This window comes from Homo sapiens, chromosome 13 (assembly GCF_000001405.40).
Source record: "Homo sapiens chromosome 13, GRCh38.p14 Primary Assembly".
Lineage (NCBI taxonomy): Eukaryota > Metazoa > Chordata > Mammalia > Primates > Hominidae > Homo > Homo sapiens.
Window position 1 is genome coordinate 40442247 of NC_000013.11, and position 18658 is coordinate 40460904.

Below are 18658 nucleotides of genomic sequence, written 5' to 3' on the forward strand. Positions count from 1 at the left end.
GAATTTACTTCAGTTGATTTAAAGAATTTGTGAACAAGAATTTTATCTGAATTGTCATCACCTTGGAGCAACTGGTCAGGCTGAAAAGGTGTCCTGAATGGGGCTAGACACGTCAGCGAGACCTGCCAGGTGTCTCGTCACTCAGCACGGCCACTTCCTAATAGTAACAGGATCAGCCCTGGGGACTTGCTGATGGGCAGCATGGCAGGATGACCCCAGCCATCTCCACATGCACTCTGATAAGGACTGGCAGGTTAAATAAGGGCATATGCTGCATGCTGCTCCATCAGCACCTCCACTTGGCTCCTTCTCAGCCCAGGAGTTAGAATTTGTTGATGTAACCCACACCATGGGAAGAATGAAAACTCAAGCAGCAAAGCCCGTGTTAAGATGCCTTTTGTCGGGAAAAAAAAAAAAAAGGCAGTTTATGCCTCCAGCTGCTGCATTCAGGGACCAGTTAACAATGGGAGACAGCAGAGAGAGCTGGGTAAAGATGGGAACAACACAGAGGAAAGGGTTTGTGAGCAACTGGGAAACATCTTCTTGTCATCTTCAGCCCAGTGACATCTTTCCCTGCAGCAGAAAATGAGAAGGGTTAAACACCCCCTCTCGTTAATGCTGTAACAGGCATCCACAGGCATCACATGGACATTTTATAGAGTGCATTTACATGGCATGGGATCTCCTGACTCCCACTTTGACACCAACTAGTGCAATGGTAAATGGGAAAAAAATGATAAGCGCTACAAAAAACGATGAAGATGAGTCAGGGCAGGAAAACGCTGCCTGAATTCCGAATAACTACAGGCACAGGTCAGGAATGTGTAGTATACCAGCTCCAATACAGTGAGCTTAACTGTGATTAGGCACAAGGGTCCATGGATCAGGGGAGACTCAGAGGAGTAAAGGTGCATCTGATAAGCCAAAAAGGGACACCTTCTCTACCACCCCACCTATCGTGTGTGTGTGTGTGTGTGTGTGTGTGCAGGTACACACTCATTCTCCACTGTGTCCAAGACAGCTTTCAGGATCACCAATAAACACCCTAGTGAGGAGTCCTGGGCTGGACATGAGACCCACACTCTAGATAGATCAGCATTTACTTTATGTTCTCCTTTGATGCATGCACATATGCCTTAGTAAACTATTAAGTCATTCCATGGTATTTCTCTATATATTCTCAGACAGTTCCTTTCTTACATTTCTAGAACCTTGTGCTTTAAAATGTTAGAATGTGCTATAGATCTTAGAATGTCTTAGAGATCTTGGAAGGCCTATATATCTTGTTAAAAGATACTTGAATTGGGTGGCCACTTTCCTGATTCCCTGAGGACAAACCCAGTTCACAGCACCCATCACAGAATTAACTGACGTGAACACAGCCCCTCATATTTTCCACTTCTACTGAGAACCATGAAGTTGAACCCAAGTGGGTGCCTGGTGTATCATTTAGGGCCAGTTTCATGAAAGTAAAAAACATATGCCAAGAAAGGGGCTGTGCTGTTCCTGGTTGAAGGAGTAGGATAAGCAAGGGACCTAGTGCTGCAGTCAGGGTAGGCCTTTTGTCTCTTTGTCGGCCTCTGGTTATCTGGTGACTTCCAATGATGTGCTTGCAGGGGAAGGGTGAGCAGGGACTGTTTATGGAAGGTGGCACAGCCCAGGGAGTCTCACACATTTGCATAGATGTACCCCAAGCAGAGGGAACTGTCCACAGTAAATGCTGTGTGAATGCTGTCACTTGGAAAGGAGGGACTTCAAACCAAGTAGCTGCCGTAGGACCATGTTCACGTTCAAAGATGGTTTTAGAACCAGCTGAAAATTTTGCTTTTGGCACCCTCAGTGAGAGCACGTTTAAATAATCTCTCATTAGTTGAAGCCTGAAACCATCAGGAAAAAAGCAGATTTTTGATAAAAATCCAATAATTAAACCTTGACACAGGCTCAGAAATTCCCAGGCCCAAGCCCTCTGTGTTTTATAACATTATTTCACGATGTGAAAGATACCATCTGAATAAATGCCTTCTGCTTCTACACTTTAACTTTTTGTCACTGATAAGTTCATTCAAAAAGCACAACAACTCTCTAAAGGTTGACTCTAATAATAAATGGATCTCTTTTCTCTTATCTCTTCTCCCCGTGTAATTGTGTGCTTCATTCTCGAGCTGTCTTCAACATGAATAACTCTACTTACTTCAGCAAAGGTCCCCAAACATCACTCCAGGAGGCTGGAGAAAGGTCATAAGTACCCTTCATTCCCAGACACTAATTTTTCTTTTCTTTCATATTAAAGAAAAAAAAAATCCCAGCTCGGGATTGTTCAGCCTCCAGATAAGAAGAAAAAAAGTGACTATTCATTACACATATCTAAATTTGGACTATAAATTTAATAATTGTAATGTTGTTTTTATTTTTAAGCTTTTTCTTGTCTGGGTCTAAATCCTAGGAGTGAGTTTGATATTTCAAATCCCTCAATTTCTAAAATCTCTACTGTCTTATTCCAAATCAAGTGTTCAAGTTAATTATATCCCCTAGCTCCCATTAAACAGGAGAAATTCTTCAGAGAGAGTGTTATTTGAATAAAACTTCTTGGAATTGTTTAGTTGGAAGTATTGTCCTGGGCCCCGTGAGAAGAGGCACATGCATGTTAGGAAATGTGGCTGTCCAGAGCTTATGTAATTATTCAGTAATCTGTATACCACATTACCAAAATGCCATATCTGCCTCAAAGGCTAACATGTGAAAGTTTAATCAGCACAGAAAATGGACTTTAAAAATTTCAACATAGATTCTGAGCAAGGTGAAGGGGACTGTGAAGACAGTGAATTCTAGATTCCTTCAACACTCCCATATGGGAAATCGAGTGGGATGGAGAAGACCTCATTTCAAAAGGAACGTTGTACATTTACTCACTGTTAAATATAAGGGCAGTTACTTCTATTCAAACTCAACAAAAGTTAAGTGTTTCTTGCCTTTAATCAATGAAATATATAAAAATAGAGATTTAGAGTTGCAGAACTTCAAGTGACAGAGACCACGGGGCATTGAGTTCAGAAGCCACTTCTGGGCCAGACGTCCCATCCCAGTGTCCCTGGGTGTGACCCCTGCTCTTCTGTGTAAATCCCTCCGGGAAAGATGACCTGACTCCACACTTGGACCCAGCCTGGCCCAGTGTGGGCATCACCTCTGGCCAGGAGAAGACTTAAGTGGTATAAACGGGGTGAGGGGCTCATCATAGAAGCTGTGGGGCAGGCCATGTGCAGTGGCTCACACCTGTAATCCCAGATTACAGGCTCATGAGGGCTGGTTACGTTTTCACTGATCCTGTTTAGACTTTGAGGAGAAAGGCATGCTTCACCAAGCACTACCTTGTGAGCAGCTGGGGGGAAGCCCTGACAAGTCTCACTTCCTTCCAGCAACAACTCTCCCACATTGTTCTCGCCATTGTCTACGCTTCCCCGTTGTTAGTCATTCTGTGAGTCAAGAGCTGGCCTCGGCCAGCTGCAGGCACGCTTGGCTGCCCCGCTGCATGAGGGGCCAATGTCACTCCCTCCCGGGCTCTACGAGGCCAGGTCTGCAGCCAGCAAGCCACAAGGGACCTCCCGAGCCACCTGTTATTGTGACCATGCGTGGCCCAGTTTGTTTTGATTAGAGCGTTCCAAAGAGGAAATAAAGCCTATATTTATATTTTTATTTTAAAAAGGCAGGGCCACTTGGGAGGCCAAGGCTGGTGGATCACCTGAGGTCAGGAGTTTGAGACCAGCCTGGCCATCATGGTGAAACCCCGTCTCTACTAAAAATAAAATAAAAAATTAGCCGGGCATGGTGGTGGGTGCCTGTAATCCCAGCTACTGGGGAGGCTTAAGCAGGAGAATCACTTGAACCCAGAAACTGAGGTTGCAGTGAGCCAAGATCACGCCACTGCACTCCAGCCTGGGTGACAGAACAAAACTCCGTCTCAGAAAAAAAAAAAAAGAGAAAGAAAGAAAGAAAGAAAGAAAGAAAGAAAGAAAGAAAGAAAGAAAGAAAGAAAGAAAGAAAGAAAGAAAAAAGGTAGGGCCACTTGCCCAGTGCCCTCTTGAATATTTGGAATTCACAGACCTCTTCCTCAAACCCATGGAGATTTGCATGAAGAGCACTTTGCCCATAGTAATGTGATCTCCCAGTTAAGGGAGGCAAAATATTGAGTTGGTTGGCAGCTTTTCCCAAGTTCCTCCATCAGCTGGGAGGGAATGATCTAAGAGGAACAGTGGGTAATTCAAATACCTTAGGGTATTCTACATAATGGAAGAGAAGAGAAAAACCAAACAAACTTTTGTGAGCACATGTAACACAGACATTCCAGGGCATTCATGAGTGGTGACGTTATGGGTTGAAGTGTGTCCCCGCCAAAAACATATGCTGGATGGAGTACTATCTCCCAGTACCTCAGAATGTGATCTTATTTGGAGATAAGATCTTTACAGAGGAAATCATTAGGGTAGGACCTAGTCCAATATGACCAGTGTCCTTATAAAAAAGGGAAATTTGGAAACACAGGGAGAACATCCTGTGAAGATGAGGGCAGAGATCTACAAGCCAAGAAATGCCAAAAATTGCAGCAAATCCCCAGGAGCTGGGAAAGAGGCATGGAACCGATTCTTCCTCACAGCCCTTAGAAGAAACCAACCCTGGCAGGGTGTGGTGGCTCATGCCTGTAATCCTAGCACTTTGGGAGGCTGAGGTGGGTGAAGCACTTGAGGTCAGGAGTTCAAGAGCAGCCTGGCCCACATGGTGGAACCCCGTCTCTACTAAAAATACAAAAATTAGTCAGGTGTGGTGGTGCATACCTGTAATCCCAGCTACTTGGGAGGCTGAGGCAGGAGAATCAGTTGAACCCAGGAGAAAGAGGTTGCAGGGAGCCAAAATCATGCCACTGCCCTCCAGCCTGGGCAACTGAGTGACAGAGTGACTTGATGAAGTGAGACTCCGTCAAGAAAGAGAAAGAAGAAGAAGACAGAAAGAAAGAAAGAAAGAAAGAAAGAAAGAAAGAAAGAAAGAAAGAAAGAAAGAAAGGAGAAAGAGAGAAAGAAAAAGAGAGAGAAAGAAAGAAAAGAAAGAGAGAAAGAAAGAAAGGAAGAAAGAAAGGAAAGAAAGAAAGAAAGAGAAAGAAAGAAAGAAAGAAAGAAAAAGAAAGAAAGAAAAAGGGAGAAAGAAGGGAGGGAGGGAGGGAAGAAGTAAGGGAGCGAGGGAGGGAAGAAGTAAGGAAGGAAGGAAGGAAAGAAGAAAGGAAGGAAGGAACCCTGCCGACACCTTCATCCTGGACTTCCAGCCTCCAGAACTGTGGAACAATCAATTTCCAGAGGGATACATTCCAAGAACTCCAGTGGATACCTAAAACTGCAGCTAGTACCACACCCTATAGATACTATGTTTTTCCTGTACATACATATCTATAAAGTTTAGTTTATTAATTACATGCAGTAAGAGATTAACAACAATATCAATAAAATAGAACAATATACTGTAATAAAAGTTATCGTGCACTGTGGCTGTAATTTTTGCAGTTCAAGGGGAGACACGAAAACTAGCTTGAATTTCTTTTTCCATCTTTATCGTTTCACAAATAGAAGATTGGTTCTTACCATAGATCTTAGCAACCTCAGCATACTATTTGTTTCTTTCCTTATTAAGTCAAGAACTTTCACCTTTTCACTTAAAGGAATCACCTTACGGCTTCCCTTTGGCAGATCAGGGCCATTATTAAGTAAAATAAGGGTGACTTGAACACAAGCACTGTGATACTGCCAGGCTATCTGATAACAGAGCCAGCCTCTAAGCGTCTCACAGGCAGGTAGTGCCTACAGCTTGGATTCACAAGACAAAGGGAGGATTCGGTCCCAGGCTGGATGGGGTGAGACAGCAAGATATTTATTTCATCATGCTACTGAGAGTAGCACATGATTTAAAACTTATTGTTTATTTCTGGAATTTCCCTATTAATATTTTCAGACCACAGTTGACCATGGGTAGCTGAAACTGAAGAAAGCAAAGCCATGGATAAGGGGGGTCGACTGTACTTTGTTACTGCAGCCCTAGCAAATGAATAGAGGTGATGTCAGTACATTCAGTCCACATAGATTCCTGGAACAGTCTGCCTCGTTATTTGAGGTTTCTCCCAATCCATGCAAGGCTGGTTCCTTCTTTCCAACCAAACCTTAGTTCCTCCATGCCCCTTCACACCCTTCCTGACCACCCAAGCTAAACAACAGCCTCTCCACCTCCTTCACTCTATTCCACTGCCTGATTTATTTTCTTGATGGCATGTCTCACTCTCTCATCTAGTTGTTTGTAGATTTAACATCTTTCTCTGCACCCCTACAATGTAAGCTCCATGGGAGCAAGGTTCTTGTGTGTCTTGATCATAGCTATGAATTGCAGCAGAAGCTGAATACACATTTGTTGGATAGGAGCACAAAGTAAAGAAATTTAAAAATTAGAAATGGGACATCTCGTTATTCATTTCTTAATTGTTTATTCCATATACACTTATTAAGAATATGTGAGTGTCTGGAACTCTATAAGATTCTGAAGGAATTCAAAATAATCTGAAGTCCTAGCCATTGATAAGCACAGAAAACTACCAAAATTGTCCCATGCAATTATAACTAGAAAAGTGTGGTTACATCCTGTAGCGTCTGAAATCAATTTCAGCATCACCACCACCTCACACCTAACCTCTTCCTTCTTTTGCCTTTCTGTGTGCAGCCTCCTGAGAAGGAGGACAATGCAGCCAAAATGTGACTAGATCCTCCCTGAGGAATAAACTCCCTAACTGTCCCTTCCTCCCCAGTGCCCAAGGCCCAAACTCATGAACCCCAAGAGAGCCTCAGGAAAGCCTCAGCAGTTTTAGCTCCCCATGCCATCTTCCTACCACATGAATCTCTCTCCTCCCACCTCCAGATGAGACAAGGCTCTCAGGGGCAGATTGATTTGGGAGCAGATTGAATATTTGTGAGGATGCCTCCTGCTGTTTCTACCTAGATTAGCTTCTGAACAGTGGCTAAAGTGATGCCTCTTGCCATTTACAGCCTGGACTAAATGGAACTGCTGCCCACCTTATCCCTATCTTCACAGGGCCTGCCTAGGCACAGGTACCCCTACAGAGTTGCCTCAGGTTGGAGCTGGGGAAGAGGTGTTGCCTGTGTCCCCTTCACTCAGATCCTTGATCTTGTGCTAAGAAAGTGCTTTGGCCTTAGGATCAGGGGACTCTTTGTGAATCCGGCCACTGCTCATCCACTCACCAGCTGTGTGAACTCACAAACTTTCCAAAACACTCTGAATCTATTTCCTTCATTGGGCAATAAAGATCCCTACCTCACACCATTGCCATAAGGAGGAAGATATGAGATAGCACCTATTAGATGCCTCTTCTATAGTAGGTAATATCTGTTGAATATGAACCTTTCAGTTGTATATATGGAATAGACATCCTTTGTAGTTATAGGCAAGACTCATCTTACATAAAGCTTATGGCAGTGAGAAGGCTTTACCAATTTTAATTTGAATGGGTCACAGATTATTTAGGAACAAGTTGGACATGGGGGACAAAAGACAAATGACCCAGGCCTGGAGTGGAAGGGGTGGTGAGGAGCAAGGAATGAATATGGAAGCTAGGGGGAACCATGCCGTAAAGAGGTAAAGTTCTAGAATACCACTGGGCCACAGTCTAAAAACAGCAGTGCAGCCCATTGTCTTGGAGTTGAGAAGCTAGAATGGCCTGGATTCAACTGCTATACGTGGAAACAAAGGGGACTTTTCCAACAAAAATAAAAAACATAGAGCTGTGACTCAACAGTAGCAGAAATGAGATGAAACTAAGAAAAGTAACTTCTAAAGAAGGCTGGCTTTGGACACCATGAATCTACCAGGGATCCCAAATATTCTGTAGGAACTAGTCAGAGAACACAGAGGACTGAAATAGGGGCCAGAGGAGGGAAGCAGGTGAAAAGTGCTTGCATTGTGAGCAAACACGTTGCGTACCTGGTGACTGCCTTTAAAATACTGCCATGTGGCCCACAGGTCACAAGTTCATGACCTCTGCCTGCAGACCCACCAATTTCCTATATCTATGTAGTTTGTGACCCCACATTCTTCTCATTGCAATATGCTAATTTCTTGGTGAGATGGGCTGCTGGGGTGGACGTTGTTGACAATGGGAAATGGACACAGCCAAAGAAGAGATGAGACAACCGATCTAGGCCATCGTCATGGCAAAGGACTCCTATTTAGGAGTCTGGAGGTTTCATCTTCATAGTGGAAGAGGCCTCACCAGCTTCTGATTTTTAGTTCAGCCAGCTAGACTATTCCTCACCACTAAGGTGTACATTTTTGTTTTTAAATCCATGAAAATGAGATTGCGTATTTACGAAGATTTTCTTATATTTAAAAAATAGTATAACCTAGTTCTAGAAGATGACACAATTGTCTCTCTGGGGTGCCATCTTTACCTGTTCCACTGAGAAGTAGTCATCACTGGGTGGAGAAGCATGATTGCGAGCTGGTCCCATGAGCTACGCAAGCCTGACTGACACCATTGCAAAGCAGAGATTGCCTGTTCTGACATAATCACCACCACATCTCTGGCCCAACTTGCCCACCTGCAAGTGGCTCCCATGCAGATCAAGCAAGAATGATGTCACCAACCAGTCTTAGAAAGCATGTAAAGTAAATGGCATATATCTATGGGCCCCAAAACTGGAACATCCAGGAAACAATCAAGTGTCTCTTCTGGGTGTCTTGGTGGTCCCTGTGGTCTTACCCAAGATGATGAGCAGATACCTGGGGTGTAAGAAATCAGGTCCCATCTTCGATTGGACTTTTCATTTGTTGAATGGCTGTGGACAGGTCTCTTCACACCTATACTTGTTTCTCATTTGCAAACAGGAGAATGATCTCTTCCAACCTCATTCTTGAATGACCTGGAAGGTTGATTAGCACATCCTAATTCACTCCAGACTATGGAAATGATGCAGCACTCCATCATCATCACGGACATCGCACACCCATGGGATTCATAAGTTACATCGAAATAATTAAATCCTTCCCAGTGGCCTTCTTGAAAATAGTTGTGATATGGAAATAAAATTAACCTCATAGATAAGCACCAAACTACCATATTGAAAGAGGTTTTTATTTGGGGGTCAATTTTCTCTCTAGGTTTCCATCATATTGCTCATCACAAGCAAAAATAATGAACACAAAACCATCTTAATACCCACAGAGCTGGAATACACCACATCATCACTATTGAAGGCAGATTATAGATAAAAGGAGATAGTTGAAAACATCATTTACATTGCCTTGGATTTGTTTATTACTGAGTAAATGAAAGGAATTTTACAATAATAGAAACATAAACAATAAAACCGTTAAGTCAAGAATAAAATAGCAATTGCTAAATAATAAAATGGAAGAAACAATACACCAAAAAGTCTTGACCAAAGATTGGTATTTTAACAGAGTACAAGGTATAGCTCTATACATCCATACTTGCTGTTCTTTTATAAATTTTTTAAAGTTGCTCTTTCTCAGAATTATAAGAATGATATTCAAGTCTAAAATGCCTAGCTTTAACCTGCTAGATAAAATTGGATGTTCAAGGAAAGAAGGATAGAGGTAGATGTAACCACAGATTCTGAATTTAGTGTAAATTCTTACCTTACTTTTATCTCCCTCCCTCTATTCCTGACCAAAAAAATTTTTAAGAAAATGTAAAGGAGACTATCTTACAATAATAACCCTATTGTCTCACATGCTTGCATTTTCTTAGTCCTAAATTCTTCTGTGACCTTCCAGAGGAAAGACCTTGATGGCTTGGTTGTCCTCATTTGACACATTAGCCACTGCTTTCACATACAGAAAACTGGAGTCAGGTGAAATAAGCATTTATGGAATCACTTTCAAAATACACAACCCTGTGTTTTCAGAAAGCAGTCTGTGCCACAGGCCCATCAATTTCTGTAATCACATCTCCCACTGGCTAGACACCAGTCAGAACATATTCAAAGAATTCAAAGGCTTCTCAGTAAAAGACAAACCAGCTTGAATTTGGTTCCAGTATTCAGATGGGGAGCCAGCAGCACTTGGCAGTCCAGGAGCTCAGTAAGTGTCCCCAGGGACAGTTGCAAGGGACTGATCTCTCTATGGTTCCCCCAGCCACAGGAGGAATCAAGAAGTTTTATTTCCTCCCATGTATATCCTGAGGCTTGAAGGTCCTGTCGTTCAGGACACAGTTTGAAGGAGGAAGTTGAGTGCTGTTCCCTGTGGTATGACCCCTGCACTGAAGACTGACCAGCAGAAGTTCTAGCCTGGTGCTGGGTTCCATAACAAATCTGCTGAAGTTCCGTCTTTGCGTAACGGAGGCTACCGTCTGTTCCTGAGCACAGGCTGGAGAGAAGGGTCTTCGCCTCTTCAGCCAGGCTTAGCGCTGGCAAAGAAAATGAGCTTCTTTATACCATGACCCTGAGTAGTAGAGACAAAGCCATTTCCTCCAGTCCCATAAGAAGTGGCACAAGAGGCAGCTCCAAGAAAATGGGCATTTTAAAAGCATGTGTGTTTGTGTGTTTCAGTTGCTTGAGAAATAACTTCCAGGTCCTTCTCAGGCATGCTACAAAGCTAATGCCATGGGTGATTCAGCCTGAGGACGGCAGTGCTGTTGCCCTTCCATAAGCTCCTAGAGCCATGACAATGTCCTCCCCCAGAGGTGCTGCAGTGAAGCCCACATTTGGAAGGCAAGACACACTCCTATGTCACACAAGCTTTCAGTCATGACACAGCCTACCTCACAGCTGAGGTGCCTCCAACCCTGTATTCACTGGAGTCGTTCAGGTGTGTGTTCTGTGAAACTGATCAGCCTGTTTAATTTGGAACTTGCCTATGATTGCCCCATCAGCCTATGTTATTCTGGGCTTCCAACTGTACATTTCAGATCCAGTTTTCACATGCCTGAGAAACTGTGTTATGAGACAACTAAGATATTTAAGAACTTTTATAAGCATTTTCACTGAACTCGCAAGTTTGCTTAGAGCAGTGGTTGTCAAGGTAGGATCCCTTGGCCTAGGTGTGCCAGCATTGCCTGGAAACTTGCTAGAAATATACATTCTCAGGCCCCACCCTAGAAACCCAGGGGGAGGAGCAGCAATCTGTGTTTTAACAAGGCCTTCCATTGATGATTCAAGTGTTTGGAACCACTGGCTTCACCACGGTGGGGGAAGGCAAATAGATACACATATGAAATCTCTCAGTATCATCTGAATGTAGAATAATTTTTCCCACTAAGCAAAAGCCAAGCTTCTTGTGTTAAAGTAGGAAATGAAACATAGGGTTGAATTTCACTTCATGGATCTTCGTCAAATCTGTTTCTCTTGGAGCAGAATTCTTAACCAGGCAAATAAAACAGAGCAGAAAATGCCCTGGGGGATATTTTAAACACCCCATTGTTTTTGGCACAGGAAGACATAGTCTTTACCTCTCAGTTGCCTCCAGGCAGCTCCTGTCAGACAACTCAATTAGACTGATGTGGGAAGCCGACAGGTTTGCGGTTTATCTCTTCCAATGCTGGCTCCAGCATGACCATGTTCTTTCTTTTTTTGAGACAAGGTCTTGCTCTGTCACCCAGGCTGGAATGCAGTGGCGTGATCACAGCTCTCTGCAACCTCCGCCCCCTGGCCTCAAAAGATCCTCCCTTCTCAGCCTCCCAAGTAGCTGGGACCACAGGGGCATACCACCACTCCCAGCTAATTTTTATATTTTTTGTAGAGACGGGGTTCCACCAGGTTGCCCAGGCTGTTCTCAAACTCCTGGGTTCAAGCGATCCACCCTCCTTGGCCTCCCAACTGCTGGGATTACAGGCATGAGCTATCATGCCTGGACCAAGACCATTTTCAAGATCTAGTAAGAAAGTTGGTGAAAAACGACAACCACATAATCTGTGTCACAAAGACAGATAAAATACTTTCCAGTTTATCTGGTCACCTCTCACTGAAAACAGGGATGCTGCTTGACACACACAAAGATTTTCTTGGTAACAATATCGAATACCATGACTGGCAGCTCCCTCTGAGAAAAATGGTAGGTGAAATAGAAAGCTAACCTATCTAATGTTTGTTTCCCTTCTTTTTCTCATTAAATAAAAAAGCCAATATTACAAATACTAACTCTGTCTTTCAGAGACTAGAGAATGTTAACTCTATTTCAGAAACCTGAAGATAAGGTCTTCCCTTAGAAATCTGCCAATGGTTTTATGGTTTTCATCAAGGAACCAGTGGCCTGGTTGAAAACTTAGCAACTTGAGAGACCTTAAGTCTCTCAAAGGATATAAAATCCCATTTTGTCAGAAATACCAGACTTGTTCAACAAAGATGTTCAGTTTTTTAAAATATGAATAACATTTGAGTTCTTATCTCACGTCTGATTTCTTAATTATTCAGTTTAATTAGTTGCTATTTAATAATGCTAAAACTAATCAATAAAAAGAAAGGGGAAACTGTAATGTTGCTGTCTCCACCATTATTTAAATATAAAAGAACTGTCTTTCAATGAAGTTCATAGGATTAGTTTCCAATTCTTATTTTTCTTGAAAATCCATTTTTTGGTGGAATAATGTTGTTATGTAGTTTGCTAAATACTTGCTTTTTTATTAAATTTAGGAATGGTTCTTAAATGTTTTATATTGAAATACTTATCATTTTTTTCCTATGCCCTTGAGGTGATGTGTTATATAAATTGATTTATTAATATTTAATTATCTGTACATTCACAAATAAGGCATATTTGGTCATTTATTATTTTGCTGCATTGTTACACTAGAGTTATTATTTAGCATAGATTTTTAATATCCTATTATAAGTGAAATTGAGCTGCAGTTTCTAATTTTGCATTCTTTTTGTTAGGTTGGAGATTAACATTCCAAATACTATTTCTTAGATCAACGATGAAAATTTTAATTAACAGTAAAGTGTTATGGGTGTCCCTATCATTATCAACAGACAAATAAGTAAGGAGCAAATAAAGACACCAGTTCTAATGGCCAGATTTAGTATTCATATTATATGTATTCATATATGTCTGTGTATTCTAGCCAATACAATATCAAACAAACAAAACAGATGCATGTAAGTGGAAAGAGATAACATTTCATCCCAATATATAATTGCCTGTGTAAAAACAAAACAGACAGCCAGGCGCAGTGGTGCACACCTGTAACCCCAGCACTTTGGGAGCCTGAGACAGGCAGATCATGGGGTCAAGAGATCGAGACCATCCTGGCCAACATGGTGAAACCCCATCTCTACTAAAAATACAAAAATTAGCTGGGTGTGGTGGCAGGCACCTGTAGTCCCAGCTACTCGGGAGGCTGAGGCAGAAGAATTGCATGAGGTTGCAGTGAGCCGAGAGTGCACCACTGCACTCTAGCCTGGCAACAGAGCGAGACTCCATCTCAAAACAAAACAAAACAAAAAAACAGGTATAAACACACATACATAAACAGAAACTTAAAAAACTAAAACTACAATAGCTTTTATATTTTTGTGTATTATTATACATATATACATACACACAGAATTGGAAAACACTGAAAAAAATTATATAATTCACAGTAACAACAATACACAAAATACCTAGGTTTTACTTAAGGGGAACTGTGTAGGACATGTAGAAAAAATATATTTAACAGAAGAATGTAAAGAGAAAGCTAATCAGGCCAGGTGCGATAGCTCACACCTATAATCCCAGCACTTTGGGAGGCCAAGGCAGGTGGATCACGAGGTCAAGAGTTCCAGACCAGCCTGGCCAACATGGTCAAACCCCGTCTCTACTAAGAATACAAATTAGCCAGGCGTGGTGGTGCATGCTTGAAATCCCAGCTACTTGGGAGGCTGAGGCAGGAGAATCACTTGAACCCAGGAGGAAAAGGCTGCAGTGAGCCAAGATCACACCACTGCACTCCAGCCTGGGCAATAGAGCAAGATTCCATCTCGGGGGAAAAAAAAAAAAAAGTGAGAAAGCTAATCAATAACCTCGTCAATGTTAAAGAGATGTCAATTCATCCCAGAGAGATCCAGTGGATTCAAAATATTTCTCAACTAAAATCCTAGCATTCATTAAGCAATTTTACATTCTAAGAAAAACTGCTCTGGAAGCTTTAGGTTGCCAGGTAAGATACTCCCACCACGAACTAATCAGGCAAATGCCCAGAAGAACTTCAGCCTTCTCAGGCAACGTTTACGGAGCTCATGACTTTGGGCAAACAGCAATCACAACACTGGCAATGAGAATGCTGTGCACAGTCCTGGAGCACCTGGCCAGAATGTGGAAGCACTGGCAGGTGCCCAGGGGTACTCAGGTGTGCCACCAGTAATGAGAACAGCTGGTACCCAGTGGGGAGCCATTGTGGGCAGCAGCAACTGCTCTGGGCAAATCATCCTCAGCTGGTCCTTAACATCACTACCCAGCAACAGCAATCCCCATTGGAATGCTCAAGTCCCCATCTGAGTGCTGAACAGCTGCAGCCTGAGGCTCCAAGGGAGAGTACTCTCTGTGGACTATAGAAATGGTAGGGAGGAGACAGCCCTGGGCCAGAGGATGCAGCTAAAAATCTCTGAGCAAAAACCACCTCCTGTCAACCACCAAAGGGAGAAATGGAGTCTAGTCTTGCTTCTCAAATTTGACTATGTGTCACTGTGACGATAACTCTTATGTCTTTATAGAAGGAAGAGGGATGGAAGGACTGGCCCCTGCCTGCTCCAAGCACTGCCACTGTGTAATAGGACAACCATAGGTTGACAGGTACCCAACAGAGTACGGATCAGCACTGCCCAACTCTGGGACGTGCCATTCTACCATATCCACAAGGCCAGTGTGAATGCCAAGCCACAGAAGACAGCAGAGCATGGGCTGAGTCGTCAGTGGGCAGGAACAGGGCTTCCCCTACAGAAGCCCGGGCTGCAGCCCTCCCAGTGGTGTTCAGGCCCCTCAGGCACACCAGCAAGACCGTACTCTTTCCCCACTAGGCCACCGAAGAGAACCCTGGAAGGGAGCAGGGCGTGTGTGAGGTCTCTGGTTTGCTGTTTGACTCCTTCTGGCATTCAGTTCCATCCCTCTCCTCCCACCCCTCCCCAAATTCCACTTACTTCAATATCTCCATTCAAATGCCTGCTTCTCTTCTAAGAGAGGCATATTGCCCCACCCTCTCCTTCCCCACTTACAGAGAGCTCTATCAGAATTTACCCCCACGTTCTCTGGCACTTTGCTTCAATCTCCAGCAGGGCACTTGCTCTGAGCTGCCTTTCCTTCTAGTTAGTTGAGTTCAAGTCTGTGGACTGCAGACTCCATAAAGGAGCTGGGACCATCCCCTCCTTTGGTGCCTGGAACAGTAGTTTGCACAATAAATATTCTGAGGATGCTCAATAAATATTTTTTGAATGAAATTCATTCCTTCTCTGCCTGTCATTGAGTTGTGGAGGTGAAGAAAGTTCAGGTTCTTTTGGCACTTCCTTGGGACCCTCCGGACCCAAAGCAGTTAAGTTCTTGTGTGTTAATGAGATGAAGAAAAGAACCCAGCCCTTGGGATCCCTGGTTGTCATCTGATTATGCTCTGTTTGGCTTCTTGCAAAAAATGCCCAAGCACCATCCGCTTGCTCCAGTTCTGCTTTCATTCCAATGCTTGCCAGAGACCAGCTTAATTTAATTTTGCTCCCACAATGTGATGTTCACACAAAAATCTTGAATGTTTCACACTTGCCAATGTTTGAACATGGATTTCTTTTACACTCTCCGTTATATTTTCTTCTGGAGGCTTAGTTTGGCAAATTCCGCCATTTCCTTTAAGAGAAGTGCTGTCTCTGCCAATAAAAAAAATGTTTCAAGCCAAAATCCTTTCTTCCATACATACGTACAAGCAGAGTGTATACACCTCATGCATAATCCAATGCAGGATCTCACTGTCCTATGGAGGGTGTAGGGGGGAAGAAGGTTGGTGGTGTCCTTGCTCACTGGGACAGTCGCCCAGGGGACACGAGACATATACAGCCAGTCTCCTTGTGCCTACCAGGGTCTGGCAGCCCATTAGAAGGAGCCCAGCCCCAGCAAATTAGGGGTTGGGTAAGCAGCTGTGGAGCCTTTTACTTCAGGGATCTTGTCATTCGATGCCTCAGCCTTAGCTTTCCAGTGCATGCACACATGAGCACGTGCACGCATGCACACACACACACACACACCCTGCTTTTTGCCTGCCAGAGAGCAAGAAAGCTATTGCCAGCCATAGGACAGCCAAGAGCAGAGTTGCAGCTGCATCCAGGATGGTCCTGAAGGAGAGGGGTGGAAAGCGCTCTTCTCCCAACCACGCTCTTTGTCCTTAAGGGGTGTCCAAATCACTGATGCAGCCTGAAAAGAAAATGTACACGCACGCTGAACAAACTCTGGTGCAAGAACCAAACAGGACCCCCTCATTGCCTGAAAGCTATTCAGTAGAGGGTGATGTAAGACAATTTAATCCTTCCGTGGGCAGAGGACCTTGTGCACAGAGGGGCAGAGCTAGTGCAACACGAGCTCACTCCCATGGAGGAGTCCATGGCAGAAGGCACAGTTCACTGGCAGGGCACGATCCTAGGGTCATTTTCAGGATTCGCTTCGCAGCTGCGGTAGCTACTGACGTGGGAGTAAAGGGTCTCTTCATTGCCTTGTAGGTGGTTAGATGTCTGGACAAGTGTAGTTCACAACATGCCACGGCAACTAAAAATGATACAACAGCAAGACAAAAAAGAAAAGTAGGAAAAAAGAAAGGGAGAGAGGGAGGGAGGGAGAGAGGGAGGGAGGGAAGGAGAGAAGAAAATTTTAAGTCTCCACTTCCCGCAGACTTAAGCATTCTGGTAGAAGAATCAGCGTATCTTGCTCAGGAATAAAGTTGCCTGTATGGAGGGATGAGAAGCAGAGGTGTCTCTGAGGCCCAGGTTGATGGCAGCCCCCACAGGTGTCAGGTGAGAAAGAGAGAACTTCCAAGTGTCAGTGCCACAGAAGGACCCAAAAGTCTCTTCCTCACCTCATCAGCTCCTAAGTCTCCGTGGATACGGCTGGGTGGAGCGGGAGGATGATCACAGGGTTTAGAGACAAAAAGCTGAGATATTGAGTCCTTGTTCTTTTCTTCCTTATTATACAATTGTCACGATTATAAAAAAATTCCTTTAGCCTCTTTGAATACAGGGTCTCGTAGGTGGTGGCCACAGGGAAACAGGAATTTAAACTGAAAAAGTAAACTGGAAATGGCCAGCTGCTGATCAATGGGCAAAACGTTCCAGCTAAGCAGGACTTGGAAGCTCTAGAGATCCCTGTACAACACTGTACCTGTGGTTAATAATGTATTGTACACTTAAAATTTTTAAGAGGGTAGATTTCATGTTAAGAGCTCTCACTAAAATAAAATAACATAACATAAACTGAATCCATCAGCTGTACAGCAAAAGAAGTCAATCGGAGCAAAATCTTCACAGCCCAGTTTGCCAGGCACAGAACGCTGTGGCCCTTCTCTGACGGTTCTGCCTCTCGAGGAGATATTGGCTTCACTTTTCCTTGACTCCTTGGCACAGAGATCCAGAAGGCACGCTACACTCCAGAGCATTCCCACCTCTGCATCCCTCTAAGCTGCCTTGGTGATGCCAGCTAAGCCAGAATTGAAAAGTCACTTGGCCGGGCGCAGTGGCTCACGCCTGTAATCCCAGTATTTTGGGACGCAGTGGCAGGAGGATCTCTTGAGCCCAGGAGTTCGAGACCAGCCTGGGCAACATGGTGAAACCTTGTCTCTGCTAAAAATACAAAAAGTTAGCCAGGCATGGTAGCACATGCCTGTAGTCCCAGCTACTCAGGAGGCTGAGGCACGAGAATTGCTTGAACTCGGGAGGCAGAGGTTGCAGTGAGCCAGGATCACACTACTGCATTCCAGGCTGGCTGACAGAGCGAGATTCCATATTAAAAAAAAAAAAGAAGAAAGAAAAGTCACTTACCAGAAGCTGAGGCACATTCCCCAGGAGGAGGCCTGATTTTCTGAAACAATCCTCACTCATCTCAGCAATGACTGGGAGGAATCCAAAGACCTCTGGCCAGCTCATGAATTGTGGCAGGCAGAGCCCTGATGCATTTTTAAAACATCAAAGTAATTTATTAGACTCAGTTGATATTGTTGACAGATTTATTGAAGTATAGTTGACATATGATAAACCACACATATTAAAGTGTACAGTTAAAAAGTTTTGACAAATGTATATGTGAATAATGGCCCCACCAAAGATACCCCTGTCCTAATTCCTGGAACCTGTAACTGTGTTACCTTACATGATAAAAGGGACTAAAAAAGGGACTTTGCCGATGTGAAGACGTTAAGGATCCTGAGATGGGGAAAGTATCCTGGATTACTCGACTGAGCCTGATCTACTCACTAGGGCCCATCCTCATAAGACAGAGACAGGAAAGTCAAAGTGAGGAGACAATTAGGTGACCATGAAGCAGAGACCGATGTGATGTAGACACGAGCTAAGGAATGTGGGCAACCTCTGGAAACTGGAAGAGGCAAGAAAACAGATTTTCCCCTAGAACCTAGCTCCATTAGGAAGCAGCCCTGCTAACACCT

General features: G+C 43.7%; 1 long non-coding RNA gene across 3 annotated transcripts in view, besides 3 other annotated features; it reads right to left on the reverse strand.

Moving 5' to 3' along the window:
- The window catches only part of LINC00598 (long intergenic non-protein coding RNA 598), a 133873-nt gene that overhangs the window by 95115 nt on the left and 20100 nt on the right, over positions 1 to 18658 (reverse strand). Inside the window, exons 5-7 of one of the 3 annotated variants that reach the window (NR_024505.2) lie at positions 18036 to 18160; positions 15268 to 16422; positions 8688 to 8957 (exon numbers count right to left, since the gene is read on the reverse strand). This is a non-coding gene — a long non-coding RNA (long intergenic non-protein coding RNA 598, transcript variant TTL-T). Of the gene's footprint in view, positions 1 to 8687; positions 8958 to 15267; positions 16423 to 18035; positions 18161 to 18658 lie in introns of those variants that run through there. The other 2 variants (NR_024507.3, NR_024506.2) reach the window with 2 other exon arrangements.
- Positions 3305 to 3604: an enhancer, noted in NCBI's record as "active region_7605". NCBI's record gives its function as "activates an Ori minimal core promoter by ATAC-STARR-seq in GM12878 lymphoblastoid cells {active_cell/tissue: GM12878}" and the evidence as "EXISTENCE:reporter gene assay evidence [ECO:0000049][PMID:35858748]".
- Positions 3305 to 4019: a biological region, named in NCBI's record as "H3K27ac-H3K4me1 hESC enhancer GRCh37_chr13:41019797-41020402".
- Positions 3414 to 4019: an enhancer, noted in NCBI's record as "H3K27ac-H3K4me1 hESC enhancer chr13:41019797-41020402 (GRCh37/hg19 assembly coordinates)". NCBI's record gives its function as "activates a minimal SCP1, AML or CMV promoter by ChIP-STARR-seq in primed H9 embryonic stem cells {active_cell/tissue: H9 hESC(primed)}" and the evidence as "EXISTENCE:reporter gene assay evidence [ECO:0000049][PMID:30033119]".